This window comes from Homo sapiens, chromosome 7 (genome assembly GCF_000001405.40).
Source record: "Homo sapiens chromosome 7, GRCh38.p14 Primary Assembly".
Taxonomy (NCBI): Eukaryota; Metazoa; Chordata; class Mammalia; order Primates; family Hominidae; genus Homo; species Homo sapiens.
The window spans coordinates 5,197,475-5,217,250 of NC_000007.14; the positions used below are offsets into that span (position 1 = coordinate 5,197,475).

Genomic DNA, 19,776 nt, shown 5'->3' on the forward strand with positions numbered 1-19,776 from the left:
CTAATTATTTCATTGATACAACAATTGATGTAACTAATTCAGTATAGTAAAGAAGCAAAAAATTTTTGCAAAGAAAAATTATATGAGCTGGTAGAGTTTTGTTTCTGTTCTTTTTATCCTTCTAAGATAAATCAATGTGATTTTACAGATTAATACTGATTATAGCAACTCTTCTTGGAATACATTTCTTCCACATACGTGTGAAAGAGTAGTTGGAAATCTCAAGTTTTTAATAAATCACATGATCATTAAAATAGCCCTGATCCTATCTTGGGGTACAAATACTTAGTGTGAAATGTGCCCCTTCCCTGTTTCAGCCTTCTGTTTTACCTCCTCATTTTCATGTTCTCCCAGATGTTAAAAGTGATCCTGGTATCTGATTCCTCTGTACCCCGGTGCTTCCTGCTTGTTCGCTCATCTTTCTTCTGCTGAAAGCTGGACTTGCTTCTTGTTTTGCTTTCTTTGGTCAACTGGGTTCTGGAGAGGCACTTTTCTGATGAGGAAACCCCTTCTGTGGTGTCCCCGAGGCCCCTGCTGGGAGGGGCTGCTGAGCTGTGGGCTCCTTGAGCCTCCTCGCAGAAGCGGGTGATGAGTATGGACTCATAAACGCAAGGCCATGAAACCAATCCTCTGCTTTTTCCTTGTAAGCCAACGACGGGGCCTTTGATTCCAGACTCTAAGGTAGCTTTGGAGTCCGTTTCGTTTCCAGCCCACTGCTCAGCCATGGCACAGCACAGGGGTGGAGCCACGGGTAGTAAAGGCCTGCAGAAGCACAGAGAGATGCCTGCGCCCACCTCGATTTTAAATACCTTCGTTTAAAATTTAGAAAATTCACTTACTTAACTTTTTTTTTTTTTTGGTTGGAGTCTCGCTCTATCACCCAGTCTGGAGTGCAGTGGCGCAATCTCCGCTCACTGCAGCCACCTCCTCCCAGGTTCAAGCAATTCTGCTGCCTCAGCCTCCCAAGTAGCTGGGATTACAGGCGCCTTCCACCATGCCTGACTGATTTTTGTATTTTTAGTAGAGACAGGTTTTCGCCATGTTGGCCAGGCAGGTCTCAAATTCCTGACCTCAAGTAATCTGCCCGCCTCAGCCTTCCAAAGTGCTGGGATTATAGGCATGAGCCACCACACCTGGCCAGCTTACTTAACTCTCATATTCTGACATATACTGTGTGTACACATCAGACCACTTGAGAAACCTCAGTTTGTTTTGAGGAAACCAGTAAGGCTGATTCCTTGTGCTTATATCCCAAACTTAAAGTTTTATAGAGTTTGTTTTTTAGTATTCTTATTTTAATTTTCCCTCCACTTTATTGTGGTGTAATTAAAATTGTATCTGTTGAAGGTATACAGTGTGATGTTTTATATACACACGTCTTTTGAAGTGATCACCAGTCCAGTTAATTAACATATCTATCACCTCAAATAGTTACCTTTTTGTGACAAGCACACTTAAGATCTGCTGTCTCAGCAAATTTCAAGCACACAATACCTTATTATCAACTACAGTTACTATCCTGTATGTTAGATCTCCAGAAAAAGTTTTTTGGTTTCTTTTCTTGAGACAGTATCTCGCTCCGTCTCCCAGGCTGGAGTGCAGTAGCAGGATCAATCTTAGCTCACTGCAGCCTCAACCTCCTGTCCTGGGCTCAAGCAATCCTCCCATCTCACCCTCCTGAGTAGCTCCCTGGGACTACAAGGGCACCACCATGCCTAGCTAATTGTTTTATTTTTAATGTTATTTTTGTAGAGATGGAGTGTCAGTATTTTGCCCAGGCTAATCTTGAACTCCTGGGCTCAAGCAGTCCTCCTGCCTTGGCCTCCCAAAGTGTTGGGATTACAGGCATGAGCCACCACATCCAGCCTCAGAAAAGTTTTATAGGATTTAAGTAATAATATTGTCTGTATTTTATTGACCTTGTGGCATCTTCCTGTGCCAAGCACTTGATACAAACAGTGTGAAATGATTTGCTCTGTGCTGATTTGTGGAGGGCACGCGGGGAACTTGCTGGGAACTCGCTGGGAACGTGGGAGCTGGTTTCTACATTGTCACTGTCTGCACGTATCAGCTCTTATTTCTGAATTTGGCTTTTTTGCAGGTCCCTAGCTGTTGGTAGTAAGTCCGGTTATAAATTTTTCTCCCTTTCTTCTGTGGATAAGCTGGAACAGATCTATGAATGCAGTAAGTGTTTGCTTTATTTTTCCCCTTCTTAAAAAAAAAAAAAAAAGTTGTACTTGAATTGGAATGCGATCTAAAATTCAGACGCTGTGGTTGAAGTCCAGACACCCTCTTACCAGTCCTCTGCTTCCACCTTCATCTCCCCAAGAGGTGGCAACTGGTGACACCTGTGGCCGTCTGCCCTGATCTGTGCATTTGCCTACATAGGAGGGCAGGTACCGAGGGAGCTCTGTTCATGAGGGTCTTCAGTACATGAGCACATACCATGTGTACTGGTCTGTAACTTCTCTCCCTTTTAATGCCATTTAAACCGTCTAAATTACTGTCATAAAGGGCTTCCAGAAAATTGAAAATTTTACAGCCCCTGTAGGAACAATTTATTTTCCCGCGTTGGCATTTTACAGCATTGAAGTGGCCCGCGTGTCGGAGAGGCGCATGGAACAGCGGGAGGTCATGCGCTTTGGCCTCTTGCTCAGTCATGTTTTGTGTGGTTCTAGATGGATTACTTCATCTCTGGGCCTCAGTTTCTTTTATTTTTTGCAAAACAGAAATAATGCAGGTCTGTAAGATTATTGCCAGGATTAGAGATTATGTATGTGTGTACTTAACAGTGTGCAAAAATAGTATTTGCTGAGTAAAGCCTGTGATGGAGACTGTGACTGGAAGCTTTGGACCCTTTCCACGTGCGTAATTTTTAATTAAGATAGTTATGGATTCACATGTAGTTGCAGGAAATAATACAGGTCCCTTGCATCCTTTACCCTGTTCTTCCCAGTGTAACATCTCGCAAAGCCCCAGTGTAATATCATAGCTGGGATATTGACATCCACCTCTCCTGAGCACACTCTCCAGTCCTCCTTGTGCTCGTTTGTGTGTGCGTAGGTTCTGTGCAGTCTTTTTTGTTTGTTTTTTTTTGAGACGGAGTTTTGCTCTTACTGCCCAGGCTGGAGTGCAGTGGTGCCATCTTGGCTCACCGCACCCTCCGTCTCCCCCAGGTTCCAGCGATTCTGAACTTTGTGCTGGTGACTTTTAATTATGGTGTTCTCCTGGCCCGCCAGCAGGTGCGGCCTTTCGGACTCGCTCCTGGGCCCTGGCCTCCTCTCTGCAGGTGAGCCTGCAGGTGCCCCTCACCTCCATCGGGGATGTGTCTGATTCTTCCCAGCAGTGTCTTTCCTGTTGCTGCCCCCAAGAGCAAGTACCCAGGCCCTTTGCAGGGAGAGAGTGGGGCAGCAGAATTTCCATGATCAGCGTCCCTGACTCATGGCTCCTGGTGGCTGGCTTAGGTTTTACTCCTTTCTTTGTCCTTAGACTTGCCTGCTGGTACTTACTAAATCTTCCAAAAAAGCCTTTCTTCTGCCACGGAGGCTGGGAGATGTGATCTGGGCGATAACATAGGTGTGAGCCAGGGCTGTTTATCCCAGGCGCCGCCCGCCTTCCTGAAGTCCTGTCACCTGGCTGCCTTCACGTGAGCCACACGGGATTGCTCCCCACAGTGGTTTCTGCAGTGGAGGGCAGCCCCGTCTCCAGGCTTTTACGAATGACTGAAACTCAGTCCAGATCCAGATGAAGCGCCTGAATTGTGCTGTTAAATTGTTGCTGGAGTCACTGTAGTCATCTGTTTTGAAATGCACAGAGGTTTTTCCCTTGCTGGGGGCCAGTGCTTATAAAGAGTGGAAGAATGCCAAAACCTGGTCTTTCCTTTTCCTCAAATTGAAGTTTAGTTACTGGCTTCTAGTGCCTTATTTCCCAGAGATTTTTAGTGGAACAAAATGGGATGTCTTGATAGTATCTTTTAGAGTGGATATTGGCCGGGCGCAGTGGCTCACGCCTGTAATCCCAGCACTTTGTAAGGCCAGGACAGGCAGATCACATGAGGCCAGGAGTTGAAGACGAGCCTGGCCAACATGGCAAAACCCTGTCTCTACTAAAAATACAAAAAAATTAGCCAGGCATGGTGGCGCACACCTGTAATCCCAGCTAATAGGGAGGCTGAGGCACGAGAATCACTTGAACCCAGGAGGCAGAGGTTGCAGTGAGCCAAGATTGTGCCATTGCACTCCAGCCTCGGTGACAGTGAGACTCTGTCTTAATAAATAATAAAAAATAAAGAGTGGATGTTTCCTGACCAACATGGTAAGGTGGGTGCATGAATGTCTGTGTTCTTCTTAGTGAACTTTGGCCCTTAAAAATAGATGATGAAATGGACAAAGAATGTTTTGAGGGTTAATACTTTAAACTGATCTATTACATTGTTCTATTCCAAGAATATTATCTGCCTTTCCTCTTTCACACTTTTTTTTTTTAGTAGATAAGAGAATGTCTCTAGAAAACAGGTTAGCTACTAAGTGAAATGTCAAGATTGTTTTCTAGCATTTTTCTATAGGTGGACTCAGAGGAAAGAATGTTTCTTCATGTCTCAGTATTTAGTTCAGGCTCAGTATTGACGTCTACCCTCAAAACTTTTAACAATCCATCATAAAATCAGATCTTTGCTGTCACTCACTGTGGCTGTTACAGAAAGAATGGGCCAGAGCTGGTCTTAGAGAAAAACAAGATGGACAGCTACTTGTTGTTCTTTTGTTTACTTAGAAAAGAAAATTCACACACACACACAAAAGCTTGGTCTAGCAGTACTGGAAGATAGATTTTCTACCATCAATGTTGTAATTTCAAACTTGAAAGTTGCAGGAACTGCCAGATAGGCTTTGCACATTGTTTATGGGCGCCTCATATATGTATATATATGGGGACAGAGTCTCGCTCTGTCACCCAGGCTGGAGTACAGTGGCATAATCATAGCTCACTGTACCCTTGACCTCCTGGGCTCAAGCGATCCTCCCTCCTCAGCCTCCTGAGTAGCTGGGACCACAGGCACATGCCACTACACCTGGCTGATTTTTTTTTAATTTTTGTAGAAACGGGGTCTTACTATGTTGCCCAGGCTGGTCTTGAACTCCTGGCCTCAAGCAGTCCTCCCACCTCAGCCTCCCAAAGTGCTGGGATTATAGGCGTGAGCCACTGCATCCAGCCTCTCATATGATCAGTGCTGGGATTACAGGCGTGAGCCACCGCGCCCGGCCTCTCATATGATCATTTTCTTTCTCCATGTGCATTTTTGTTGTCGTCATTTTTTGAATATACATAATGCACAAAATGTGGTCTCTTTTCCCTAAAATATTCTACAACAGTATCCTACACTGTTAGGCAAAATAAATGAAGGGTATGGGTTTATTATTTGTAAAAGATCACAAAAGTTTAGAAGTTGGCTTTTTTCAAAAGCTGCACTGTGTGTTTTCTTTGCATTTGCTAAACTGGATTCTGAGCTAGGAAAACATCTCATAAACATTCCGTTCTGAAACCCAGCACAAGCAGACTGCTCCTTAGCTCAGCAAAAGTGACTACAGCCTGCGTTGATTATGGAAGTGTAGCTGTTGACATATAACATCTTTTATCAACCTTCCTGCTTGGCCAAGAAACTAATCATTTACTTTACGGGCCATCATCTGCATCTTAAGGTTTGAGAAATGGTGTTTTCTGACGTTAGTCTTATTTGACAGGCAGTGCACTGGTTGGAATATTAATTTCAGTGAGATTTATAGTAATGTATCCTACAGAGGAGAAACCACGAGCGTCCCTTGGCCTAAATCTGTGGTGCTGGAATGCTGGCCTCTTACCTTGCATCCTGGCGGAGCCGCAGACACACACGGAAGTGGATTCAAGCAGTTATTTCATGGCCTCATTCTTCCCTTCCCACTCCAGAGCTTCATCGTTGCCAACTATAAACCACGCCAGCAGAAGCAAAAAGCAACATTCTTTTTTAAATCAAGTAATTAATTTCTTAGATTTTAGTCAGGCAATCTCTAGGAGGGAAGTTTGGCAGAAAGTGTGGCTGAGGCCACCTAGAATGAGTGCTAAAAGCAAGGCCTCATTCCTCCAGTGGGATGGAAGTCACTAAAGTTTACGTTCAGCCTTTTTTTTTTTTTTTTTTTTTTTTTGAGACGGAGTGTCGCTCTGTAGCCCAGGCTGGAGTGTAGTGGCGCAATCTTGGCTCACTGCAAGCTCCGCCTCCCGGATTCGCGCCATTCTCCTGCCTCAGCCTCCCGAGTAGCGCCACCATGCCCGGCTGATTTTTTTTGTGTGTGTATTTTTAGTAGAGACAGGGTTTCACCGTGTTAGCCAGGATGGTCTCGATCTCCTGACCTCATGATCCACCCGCCTCAGCCTCCCAAAGTGCTGGGATTATAGGCGTGAGCCACCACACCCTGCCACGTTCAGTCTTTCTTAGTGTCAGCGTGAGTGCCTCTTGGCACTGGTGTCCTGGGACGTGCCATCTTGAGTCAATACATCTGTGCAGTCTGGTTTCTTTGCTTTCTTTTGATTATTATGGCATCTTTCACCTAGCAGCCTGATCCATTGTCCACCATTATTTCATGGGAGGGCTGAGCCAGGTTTGTACTTCAGTTTACTGGAAAGTGATTGTTCTGGGTATGCGGGTTCCATGTATATTTATATGTTTGAAAGTTCATCTGGGCCGGGCGCGGTGGCTCACGCCTGTTATCCCAACACTTTGGGAGGCCGAGGCGGGTGGATCACCTGAGGTGAGGAGTTAGAGACCAGCCTGGCCAACATGGTGAAACCGCGCCTCTACTAAAAATATAAAAATTAGCCGGACATGGTGGCGCGCTCCTGTAATCCCAGCTACTCTGCAGGCTGAGGTAGGAGAATCACTTGGACCCGGGAGTCAAAGGTTGCAGTGAGTCAAGATTGTGCCACTGCGCTCCAGCTTGGGCTGTCTCAAAAAAATTAAAAATAAGAAAGTTCATCTGTATGTGAAGTGTAATAGAAAAATATTAGAGCATCTTGAAATAATACATTAGAAAAATGGCAACAAACCTAAACTACTAGCAATATATAAAAGTAGGTTGCTTTCTGAAAGGTGTATTCCTGAAAAGATCTAGTCAGATTTGGTCCGTAGAACTTAATGTCACTGCGAAGTGCATCCTTTTGTGTTATGGCTGTTACCACTACTACTACTACTGCGTTTTTTTTTTTAAAACACAGGGTCTCGCTCTGTCACTCATGCAGTGGTGCCAGCACGGCTCACTGTAACCTCAACCTCCCGGGCTCAAGTGATCCTCCCCCTTCTTGCATAGCTGGGACTGACTACAGGTGCACACCACCATGCCCAGCTAATTTTTTTTTAAGAGTTGGGGTCTCACTGTGTTGCCAAGGCTGGTCTTGAACTCGTGGGCTCAGGCCATCTTCCTGCCTCAGCCTCCTAAAGTGCTGGGCCTACAGGTGTGAGCCAACATGCCCGGCCTATTAGTCTTTTTTTTTTGAGACGGAGTCTCGCTGTATCATCCAGGCTGGAGTGCAGTGGTGAGATCTCGGCTCACTGCAGCCTCCGCCTCCTGGGTTCAAGCAATTCTCCTGCCTCAGCCTCCCAAGGAGCTGGGATTAGAGGCATGCACCACCACGCCCGGCTACATTTTGTATTTTTAGTAGAGACGGGGTTTCACCATGTTGGCTAGGCTGGTCTGGAACTCCTGACCTCAGGTTATCCATCCGCCTCAGCTTCCCAAAGTGCTGGGATTACAGGCGCGAGCCACTGCACCCGGCCCTGGCCTATTAGTCTTAAGTAATGACAAAAATATGTTCACTCCAGAGTGATTGGTCGTTCATTTCTGCCTTTTGCAGAGCCACCTCTCCTACTTTTGGTTACTGACTCTTGTAAATGTGATGAGAGTTATAGATCTATCTCCCCCAGAACACTCAGTGTTTAGCATATGGTTTCAGCGACGTTAGAGATTCAGGAAGCCCATCCAGTTATCCACGGACACCTGGTCTTTGCAGTTGGCCGTCACACTTAGTTTCTGTCCTGCCTCTGCTGCTGCCCATGTCCCCACAGGAGGAGGTGGCTCACTGTGCAACCTCCACCTCCCGAGTTCAAGTGATTCTCCTGCCTTAGCCTCCTTAGTAGCTGGGACTACAGGTATGTGTCACCACGCTCAGCTAATTTTTCTATTTTTTTTAGTAGAGATGGGGTTTCACCATATTGGGCAGGCTGGTGTTGAACTCCTGACCTCAAGTGATCCACCTGCCTCTGCCTCCCAAAGTGCTGGGATTATAGGCATGAACCATCGTGCCTGGCCTTATTTACAATTCTTACATCAACTCAAACTGAGTTCTTTTTTTTTTTTCCCCCATGCAGTCATGTGCTGCCACTGTTTTTTTTTTTTTTAACTACCTGTTTCTGCCGTTTGCCTGTTTTTCTGTTGGGTTATTTATCTCCTAATGACTTAAAGCAAATTAGCCATTTGTTAGGGGTTGCAAATATTTTTTTTTTCTGGACTGTCATTTGCCTTTTGACCTTGTTTATGATTCTTTTCACCATTCTGAAGTCTTGAATTTCTATGTATTCAAATGCATTGGTCTTTTTTTCTAAGGCTTCTAAATACTAGAAAGGGTTTTTCCTGCTCCCAGCATGTACATAAAACATTTCCCAAGGTGGTCCTGTAATACTCTGGGGTCATGTTCTACCTTCAATACTTGGAGTGTATTGGATGTAAGGAATCCCTCCCTTGCATTAAGGGGCTGGGAAGGATGCTTGCCTGTGTCCTTACTTATGTAGAGGGGCTTACTCTGAAGCATTTAGGGTGAATGTCAGAAGGAGCTTCTCTTCCAAACTTCAATAAAGAAAAAATCATTGAAGCAAAATGGTAGAAAGTTAATATTTGTTGGATTAGGTGTTGAGTATATGGAGGTTCATTTTACTGTTCTCTTTTATGAATATTTGCAGTTAAAAACGAGCTTTTCTGCCTTCATCCTCCCATCCCTGTTTAAAGCATTCTGAAAGCTCTGCTTTTTCTCATTAACATTTTAGAAAAACCATTTCCAAGTGATGGTTGGTGGTATTACCTTCTCAGCACCTGCACGTAAGCAACTGAAGACATCATTTTTCTTTCTAACATTTTATTAAAGGAAATTTTCAAACTGAAAAGTGGAAAGTATTTTACAGCTAACACCTGTGTATCCACCACTTAGATTCTTCCCTTGACATTTTACTATACTTGTCCTAACACACACACACACACAGACACCATCTATCTTTTTTATGTTTATTTCTTTTTTTGAGACAGCATCTAGCTCTGTCACCCAGGCTGCCAGGCTGGAGTGCAGTGGTGCAATCATAGCTTGCTACAGCTTTGACCTCTGGGGCTCAAGCGATCCTCCTGCCTCTGCCTCCAGAGTTGCTGAGGCTACAGGAGTGCACCGCCATGCTCAGCTAATTTTTCGATTTTTTTGTAGGGACACGATCTTGTTATGTTGTCCAGGCTAGTCTCAAACTCCTGGGCTCAAGTGATCCACATCAGCCTCCCAGAGTGCTGAGATTACAGACAAACCACCACACCTGGCTTTATTTTGTGTGTGTGTGTGCATTTCCAGGTAGACGGCAGGCATCAGTACATTTCTCCTCAATACTGAGTAGAGTTCAATGTTTGTTTTTTTCTTGTAAGATAAAATTTACTTACAGTGGAATGCATCTATCTTGAGTGAACACTATGTGAGTTTTAACAAATGCCTGCATCTCTGTGAACTGAAACCCTATCAAGGTTTACCATCACTCCAGAAAGTTCTCTCATACTTCCTTCCAGTCTCAGCTCCCTTCTGCCCACATTCCCCAAGAGGCAACCAGTGTTCTGGTTTTTTTCTACTGTAGATTAGTTTTGTCTTTTCTAGAACTTGATATGAATGGAGCATCTACTCTTTTGATGACGTTTCTTTTGCTCTGCATTTTTTTTAGATTTATCCACATCTTATGTCTCATTTGCCCAGTATGTGAATATATGACAGTTGTTGATGTATTCTTTTCATGACAGTTATCTGGGCTCTTTGTAGTTCAGCTATTATGAACAAAGCTACCATGAACATTCTCGTACAAGTCTTTTAATGGACAGATATTTTCACTTAGATAAATATTGTAGTGGAATTGTTGGCTAGATATGTGTTTAGTTTTGTAAGAAACCCCCATAACCTTCTCCTAAGTGACTATACCATTTGTGGTTCTGTCAGTGCTGTATGAGAGTTCTGATTGCTCTATGTCCTCACTAACTTTTTTTTTTTTTTTTTTTTTGAGAGAGTCTCTGTCGCCCAGGCTGGAGTGCAGTGGCACAATCTCGGCTCACTGCAACCTCCACCTCTGGGGTTCAAGCAGTTCTCCTCCCTCAGCCTCCCAAGTAGCTGGGATTACAGGTGTGCACCACCACACCTGGCTAATTTTTGTATTTTTGGTAGAGACGGGGTTTCACCATGTTGGCCAGGCTGGCCTGAGACTCCTGACCTCAGGCGATCCGGCCATCTCGACCTCCCAAAGTGCTGGGATTACAGGCGTGAGCCACCACACCCAGCCTCCTCACCAACTTTTGATATTACTAGTTTTTTTCTTTTCAGCCCTTCTGATGTGTGTATAATGATAACTTCATGGTTTTAATTTGAATTTCTCAGGTAACTAATGATGTTGAACATTTTCATGTGCTTGTTGGCCGTTTATATATCTTCCTCTGTGACATGTCTGTTCCAGTCTTTTGTTGCTTTTTAGGTTTGGTTGTTTATCTTTTTATTATAGAGTTGTTAGAGCTCTTTAGATATTCTGGATACCAGTCCTTTGTCAGATATGTTTTGTGACTATTTCTCCTAGTCTGTGGCTTGCCTGTTTTCTTTCTTTGAGCAAATGGTTTAAATTTTGATGCAGTCATATTTATGTTGTTTTTTTTTTTCCTTCCATTTATGGTTTTTGCTTTCTAGGCCCTGTCCAGGAAACTTTTGCCTACCCTGTAGTCAGGAAGGTGTTTTCCTATGTGTTCTGTGAAAGCTTTATATAGTTAACACTATACATAAAAGCTAAAGTTTTTATATTTAAGTCAATAATCTATCTCATTAATTTTTATGTATGTTGTGAGGTATGAATCAAGGTTGTTTTTTTCCTAATGGATTCCTATTCCATCATCATTTGTTGAGAAGATTTTTCTTCCCTCCTGGGATTGCTTTGGTGCTTTACAGTCCTGTGACCTGTGAGTCTGTTTCTGGACTCTTTAGTCTCTTCTAATGATCTATTTGTCAGTCTTCAACTTTGTTCTTTTTCAGGATAGCTTTGCATTTTCTAGTTTCTTTTCCTTTCCATATAAAATTTAAAATCCACTTTGTCTGCAAAAGAGCCTGTTGGGATTATGATTAGGATGGGATTGGACCTAGAGATCAGTTTGAGGGTTGATACGTTAATAATATTGAGTACCCAGAATATGGTATATCTCTTCATTTATTTAGCTCTTTTTAAATTTGTTTTGGTAATATTCTGTGATTTTTTTTTTTTTTTTTTTTTGGTATGGAGGTCTTACATCTTTTGTAAAATTTATTCCTAATACTTTGGATTTTGACATTATCATAAAAGAAAATTATTTCACTGAGTTTTCCAGTTTGCTGCTGGCCTAAACATATAGTTAATTTTTTATATTTTAATCTTGTATCCTATGACTTTGCTAAATTCATATATTAAATAGTTGCTCCATAGATTCCTTAAGATGGCAGTGAAGGCTGTTTGATGTCTTGCTTTCTAATGTTTGTGCCTTTTATTTCTTTTTCTTGCCTCACTGCAACGTGTAAGACCTCGAGCACAAAGTAAGGAGAGTGGGTATCCTTGCCTTGTTTCTAGTCTTAACGGGAAGAGATCAAATATCTTCACCATTAAGTACAGTGTCAGCTGTAGATTTTCTTAACTGTTTCTTAACCTTCATCAGTGAAAGAAGGTTCTTCCTAATTCCAGGTTTCTTAGGTTTCTACCATGAATGAGCATTGCATTTTCTCATGCTTTTTCTGCATCTGTTGGGTTGGCACAGTCTTTCTCTGTGCAGTTGAATTGGAATTTATCACCACCTCTAATGGCGACTTGCTCTTTGAGATGATCGTCTCATACTGTTCTCACTTTGAAATCTCCCACCTCCATCCCATCACAGTTAACACCTGCTGCTGCTTCAAGAGAGGTTGGTGCTGTCGGTCTGGGGCTCCCTTCTCTTTCCTTCTTCAGGTGACCAGCCCCCTAAGTGGTTTGTTCCTCCAGGCAAGCAGTCTCAACCATAAATCCATCTCAGTATATCTAGTAGCTCCTGTATTTGAAGACAGAAACTTCCCTTGCCCATGCATATCCCCCAGCCCCTCCCATATTTCTACTTCTCCAGAACATAACTTCTTTTTTTGTTTTGTTTTTTTGGTTTTTTTGGTGGAGTCTCGTTGTGCTGCCCATGCTGGAGTCTGGTGGTGCCATCTCGGCTGGCTGCAACCTCCGTCTCTCAGGTTCAACTGATGCTCCTGCCTCAGCCTCCCAAGTAGCTGGGATTACAGGCGCCCACCGCGATGCCCGGCTCATTTTTTGTATTTTTAGTAGAGATGGGGTTTCATCATGTTGGCCAGGCTGGCCTCGAACGCCTGACCTCAGGTGATCTGCCTGCCTCAGCCTCCCAAAGTGATGGGACTCCAGGCGTGAGCCCCTGCGCCTGGCCTGTAGCATAACTCCTATAGATAGTTGCCTAAGTTTTTTTCCACTTCTCATTCTCTTTCATGTTTCAGCCATTCTTCCTACACATCTCCATCAAAATATGTCAAGGTCGCCATATAAGCTCCTCGTTCCCAGACTCAGGGGACGTGTCTCATTTCCTCTTCCCTCCTCTGCAGTGCTGGGCACAGTTACCTGCTTGCTGTTCTTCAGATGCCCTCTTCTGTTGACTTCCATCTCATACACGGTCTTGGCTTTTCTCTTACTCAATCTCCTTTGCTGACCTTTGGCAGTTTCGGTGCCACACAGGGCCCTGGGCCCACATCTCTTTGGCCTCCTCTCCGTGATGGCAGGCACTGCCCTGTTTACCACTGTATACTTGGGATGGTCTCTACTGGTGTAGGATCTGCTGTTTGTGTTGAATGGGTGAAGTAAATAAGTCAAGTTTTACCAAGCAAAGCAGTAAGAACCTATTCTTTGAAAAAAAATAAAAATACAGTTGATTCTTGTTGTTCACAGTTCTAGTCTGTAAGTCTCTGGGACGCTGGATTAGCGAATCATGAAGTGTTGCTCCCAGGGGAAGGATTGGTAGGTGGCCTCTGGTCGCAACATTTTCATCAGCTGATCAAAAGACAACCTCGTTTTGTGTGTGCTTCCCTGCCTCAAGACATGCTGACGTAATGGGGATTGTTGGTTCACTAACATTGAACTCGCGGCTCGCATAGAACTCAGCCCACACATGTGCTTTCTCCGCGGGGTACATCCCAGGCTGCTTGTGCTTAGGGATACTCGACGACACTCAGCACTGTGCCAGGGCCAACAGTGAAATCAACAACAAGCACAAAAGTGCAAAAAGCAGACACTCAGTAGCCCTATGTAGACCAGGAAAAGGACAGTTGTTTTCAGAATCAACACGAGAAGATAGGACGTTGCCCTGTGTGACCTCAGCCAGGAACATGTGCATCATGTGACTCAAATCTTTTCCCGAGGCTGGGAGCGGTGGCTCACGCCTGTAATCCAAGCACTTTGGGAGGCTGAGGCGGGTGCATCACCTGAGGTCAGGAGTTCAAGACCAGCCTGGCCAACATGGTGAAACCCTGTCTCTACTAAAAATACAAAAATTAGGCAGGCGTGGTGGCATGCAACTGTAGTCCCAGCTACTCAGGAGGCTGAGGCAGGAGAATTGCTTGAACCCGGAAGGCAGAGGTTGCAGTGAGTCGAGATCACGCCATTGCACTCCAGCCTGGGCAACAAAAGCAAAACTCTGTCTCAAAAAAATAAAATCCCACTTCGCATGTGTCTACGGACGGCTGTAAAACACCGTGAGTGTTTATGCGGGGTCACAAAGAAACCTTACCTAGCAGGTGAGTTCACAGATACTGAGCCTGTGCATGTTGAGGAGCAGCCCTATTTGGAAGTAAGTTCTTTTCACCACTGATTGGATTTAGGAGGCCAGTGGAGAGGCCAGTGGATTTAAATAAAATTGTACTTAATAAAAAACCAGTTTTGTGTATACCAGGTTTTCCTATGTGTCCCAACCCTGAAGTTAATGAAGCTGAGAGTCCAACTCTTCTTTCACCATTCAGGAAGTAGATATCAGGCCTTACAGCTAATTAGAGCAGAGCTGAGACTGGAATGTGATTGTTAAACTCGCCTTCCTGCAGGGTCGCCGTGGCACCCAGTACTCACCAAGGTTGCAGTGCCGCACACACGCCCAGTACATGTGTTAGGACGCGTGCCGCTGAGCTTCACCAAGAGCACTTCTGCCTCTTGGATGTAGCACTGGGGTTAACAGCATTTCACCACCCACTGAAACTGAATGGCACAGAGATTGAGTTTTGTTTTTTGTTGCTGTTGTTGTTGTTTTGATGTTTTTAAAACAACACCATTTGGGGAGTTTGGGGAATATCCAAAATCTGGTCATAAGGTCCATTCCATCCGTTCAGCCAGTGTGGAAGGAGCTCCTCGTCTATGACAGGCGACATTAGACCTGGGGGTGGTGCAGCCGTGAATGGGCCAAACACGGCACCTGTCCTCAGACCATCAGTCCAGCAGGGAACTCTGTCTCTCAGCCATTGCCTAGATTCTCAGTGGTAAGCGCGGTGACTACTAGAGGCAACAGGTACAGGATGCAACCGGGCCAGTGCGTGCAGCCCCTAATACTACCAAGTACTACCTGAGAATGGGGTGCCTGGAGAGTGAGAGGCTAGACAGTGGCCGGGGAAGGGCCTTGTGCCCCTGGATTTGCACATCTGGCTGCCGGATTTGAGAAGTGAGGGTGGCAGCCTCAGGACACCAGCCATGATCATCATTCAGTCCTACCCTCCTTTTTGGGGCAGGACTGGTATTACAGACAGGGTCTCGCTCTTTTGCCCAGGCTGGCATGCAGGAACGTGATCACCGCTCATTGCAGCCTCAACCTCCTGGGATCAGGCACTCTTCCTACCTCAGCTACACAGGCATGCACCACCACGCCCAGCTAATTTTTGTATTTTTTGTAGAGATAGGACCTCACTATGTTGCCCAGGCTGGTCTCGAATTCCTGCCCTCAAGCAATCCTCCCACCTTGGCCTCCCAAAGTGCGGGGATTACAGGTGCGAAGCACCGCATCTGGCCCCAGCCCTCTTTCTCGCCCACCGCCTAGCAAGCAGGGCTGCCGTGACTTAGTATCCATGTCAATCTCCTGAGGGAAAGAGGGGACTGGTCAGAGAACCAGGGTCTGATCTTTAGAGAAATTATTTTTACTGCAAATAATTGACATTCTGGGTTATGCACCATCTCTTCTGAGTTGGGTTGGCCTCGTGTCTGAGTGGTGCTGCATGCCAGGTGCTAGAGGTGTATCCGCTGACAAAGATTCCTGTGTCCACGCACTGGCATGATCCCTCCTGATCGTGCCTTTCGTTGACAGATCCTGGAAGACGGTGGCCGCTAGTCTGAGATGCTGCTGAGCAGAGAAGCTGCAGACAGAGCCTGTCCTCCCTGGCCCCCCGACCCTGCCACCATCTCCCCATTTGTGGCAGACGCTTGCATCTGTTCCTTTTGAATGAAGGTCGCTTGCTGTTGTCAGAAAGAAGGTTTATGACAGCTTTCTGGTAAAAGCAACTGAAAAGACACTGAATGGATGCTGTGAAGAGCTTAGGATGATGTACTTGTGTTTATGGCCCGTTCCATTTGAAGTGGTGTCGCACTGCAGGATGGCGCGTAGGTCAGCGAGGGGCCGCGGGTGCGAGGGTGGTCCTGTGAGAGGAGCAGGCCGTGTTTTTGCTGCAGCTTTCCCATGTTTCATTCACACACACAAGTACTTGTCACTGTGCTGCAGCTGGCCACAGTATCCAGTTAGTCACACGCAGCGCAGGTCTGTAGCCAGGAGCCACAGGCCACAGCATACAGCCTAGGGGCATAGTAGGCCTACCATCTAGATTTGTGTTTGCACGACACAATTGCCTACGGGGCTTTTCTTTGTTTTGTTGTTGTTGTTGTTGTTGTTGTTGTTGTTGTTTTTGAGATGGAGTCTCGCTCTGTGGCCCAGGCTGGAGTGCAGTGGCGCGATTTTGGCTCACTTCAAGCTCCGTCCCCCGGGTTCACACCGTTCTCCTGCCTCAGGCTCCTGAGTAGCTGGGACTACAGGCGCCCGCCACCACGCCTGGCTGATTTTTTGTATTTTTAGTAGAGATGGGGTTTCACCATGTTAGCCAGGATGGTCTTAATCTCCCGACCTTGTGATCCACCCACCTCGGCCTCCCAAAGTGCTGGGATTACAGGCGTGAGCCACCGCGCCCGGCCCCTTCAGGGCATTTCTTAGAACGTATGTCAGCGTTTTGTGACATGAGTGTAATAGCGACATCTTTTTAATAAATATGTGTCATGCCACTTTGGACATGTGTGATTCTTTGGCCAGCCTCAGTATGCGAGCACGTAGGCTAGCGCTCAGCACATGAGTCTATGGAACCCAGGGGAAGCAATTGCAGTTTCGTAGTAGTTTGTGTCTTAATTAAGGGAGCCCCTAGACCTTACTCTTTCACTTTACCTAGGAGTTTGGTTCCTAAACTCACCATTCAAATCCAGCAACAGAACTGACTGAAAGGAACCTTTGTCTTTCGTGTGAATGCTCGTGAGGGGCCATCCTTAGAGTGGAAATGCTCCTGAGGCTCCAGCGAATCAAGACCCTCAGACCCCCGGGCTGTCCCCACCCCATGACCACATGTTCCGCAGGCACCCTCAGCGCTGTGCCCTGCGTGTCGCCCAGGCAGGTGTTTGTTTTTGAGCGCAGATTCTGCCTGTGGCCATAGCCATGTGGAGATGTTCACGCATGTACTTCCCTTTGTGATTTCAGCCGATACGGAAGATGTGTGCATTGTAGAGAGATTGTTCTCCAGCAGCCTAGTGGCCATCGTCAGCCTTAAAGCACCAAGGAAGCTAAAGGTTTGCCACTTTAAGAAGGGAACTGAGATCTGCAACTACAGCTACTCCAACACGATTCTGGCTGTGAAGCTCAACAGGCAGGTGAGCGCTGCCCCAGCTGGGTGTGGGCTTGTCTGTTGCTCCCTCCAGCACTCTGGGACAAGCCCACCCCACCGGCATGCCCCTCCGTCATTCCCTTGCTGCCTGGCCCCACGTTGCCGGGCACAGATCCTTGCCTACAGAGACCAGCTCTGTTTCCTCACCCACCAGCTTTGCTCAGCCCATTCCATTCACGACAAATGCCCGGGCCTCTGCCACACTGCTCCCATACAGGCGTCCCCGGCCCCACCCAGAGGGTGGATGGCAGTCTCTTTCACCTATTACCTGGTTTTGCTTTTATAAATGTTACTTAAAAAAAATATATTTGGCCGAGCACAGTGGCTCACGCCTGTAATCCCCACACTTTGGGAGGCCGAGGCGGGCAGATTGCCTGAGGTCAGGAATTTGAGATCAGCCTGGCCAACATGATGAAACCCCGTCTCTACTAAAAATACAAAAATTAGCCGGGCATGGTGGCAGGCACCTGTAATCCCGGCTACTCGGGAGGCTGAGGCAGGAAAATCGCTTGAACCCGGGAGTCGGAAGTTGCAGTGAGCCAAGGTCATGTCATTGCACTCCAGCTTGGGCAACAAGAGTGAGACTTCGTCTCAAAAAAAAAACTTACAGACTTTTTTTTCCTTTTGTAAATTGTTAGTTTAACTTTGAATTCAAGATGAAGGATTTATTACTTTATCTCCCCCTAAACTAATAAGACTGTCTGGCACAGAGGAAGGACGTGGTGGGTGGCATGTGTGCGTGTTTCACGCACGTGTGTGTGTCTCCCAGCTTGTGCTCACGCCCAGGGTAACAGCACCACCCGGGAGACCCCTGGCAATCTGATTCTGCCCGCACTCCCTGCAGGGAAAGCTGATTAGGCTGCTGGCTGTAGAGTGGACATGATGACAGCCAGTAGCTGCACCCTGAGATACAGTGACTAGGTGAAGTCACAGTAGAGACGTTCTTGCCTTACGCAGTTGAAACTAGGAAGTGGTCTGTTAACTGACATAGTTGGTTAGAATGGGAAATTATAAGACATCATATCTTGAGCATTTAAAAATTGTGTTCACGTCCAACTAATGTAGAGCTGGTCATCTTTCTTGCATAAGTTGTCTCAGCGATGCATCGTCTGCATGTCTACATTCATTTTCTTCCAAATGGAGCAGGAACTTGCAAAGTAATCTGAGTGCACAATAAAATGTTAGACCTTTTAAAACCCCCTTATTTTCATTTTACCTGTGCTGCACTCAGCATCAGTTTTAAAAAGCAAATCTTTCCAAATCTATTCACAGCACACTTGTCTTAGCTGTAGGTTAGCATTTGCCTAACACTAAACTAAATGGCCTGGTTAGAATTCCCAGTAGAGATGGGGTGAGTATGAGGGAGAGGTGCATCCGGCCTGGCTCCTTCTTGATTGTTGATGGAAAGCAGCTGTATCCTTGGCGCTTCTAACATTGGTCTGCATGGTGTTCTAGAAGGAACTAAGATTGTGAAGCCAACGCAGGGGTGGATCACCTGAGGTCAGGAGTCCAAGACCAGCCTGGCCAACATGGTGAAACCCCATCTCTACTAAAAATACAAAAATTAGCCAGGCCTGGTGGCAGTCACCTGTAATTCCAGCTACTTGGGAGGCTGAGGCAGGAAAATCACTTGAACCCGGAAGGCAGAGGTTGCAGTGAGCCGAGATCACACCACTGCACTCCAGCCCGGGTGACACAGCGAGACACTGACTCCAAAAAAATAAAATACAATAACAATAGAAGGAATGAGAGCGTCATAGTCCAGGAGTCAGTCAACTGGAGATTGGGGCAGGTATTGCACTGGCCGTTGCTTCACGTTTGGTTTCGTTTTGTCTCTCGCCTAGAGGCTGATAGTATGCCTGGAGGAGTCCCTGTACATCCACAACATTCGGGACATGAAGGTGCTGCATACGATCAGGGAGACGCCTCCAAACCCTGCAGGTGAGCTAACTTGTGAGGAGAGAATCCCATTTTTCTGATTTTGCCCTTGAAAGATAGCTATAGGTGAGAGAGATTTTTTCTTTTTATAGGTTCCGCAGATGAGACAGATTTTAAAAGTATTGATCCCAAACCAAGCTGCCTTCCTACTGATGCTGGTCATGTGACCACATAAGCTCATTGGTTTGATCAACTTTCAAGTTTGAGGTTACTGATCAGTTCAAACCAAAGGCCTTTAATCTCTTGACAATACTGGTATCACCTAAGGTGGGGATTTGGGGTTGCAGAACTTTCCTAACACAGCAAACAAGATTGTATCCAAGCTATTATTTGTTCCTAATGCTCTGTTAAATGAATGCTGAATTATGTCTGACATCCAAGAAGGAACTCTCAGGTGGAAGTTTGCATCTCGTCCTCCGTGTGTCATTTGCAGGCCTGTGTGCGCTGTCAATCAACAACGACAACTGCTACTTGGCGTACCCAGGGAGCGCGACCATCGGAGAGGTGCAGGTCTTCGATACCATTAATTTGGTGAGATGCCTTTCCTGCTCGAATAGCTCTCTAAAGTGTGGCTTTTTCCTGAAGAGGAGCACT

At 45.8% G+C, this 19,776-nt stretch overlaps 1 protein-coding gene across 7 annotated transcripts in view; it reads left to right on the plus strand.

Moving 5' to 3' along the window:
* The window catches only part of WIPI2 (WD repeat domain, phosphoinositide interacting 2), a 43,623-nt gene that overhangs the window by 7,242 nt on the left and 16,605 nt on the right, over positions 1 to 19,776 (plus strand). For 5 of the 7 annotated variants that reach the window (NM_001278299.2, NM_015610.4, NM_001033518.2 and 2 more), the window contains 4 exons: positions 2,102 to 2,184; positions 17,061 to 17,230; positions 19,089 to 19,185; positions 19,616 to 19,713. In NM_001278299.2, the coding sequence (NP_001265228.1) occupies positions 19,140 to 19,185; positions 19,616 to 19,713 (144 nt within the window). In that variant the 5' untranslated portion in view covers positions 2,102 to 2,184; positions 17,061 to 17,230; positions 19,089 to 19,139. Of the gene's footprint in view, positions 1 to 2,101; positions 2,185 to 16,794; positions 17,231 to 19,088; positions 19,186 to 19,615; positions 19,714 to 19,776 lie in introns of those variants that run through there. The other 2 variants (XM_006715685.2, NM_001033520.1) reach the window with 2 other exon arrangements.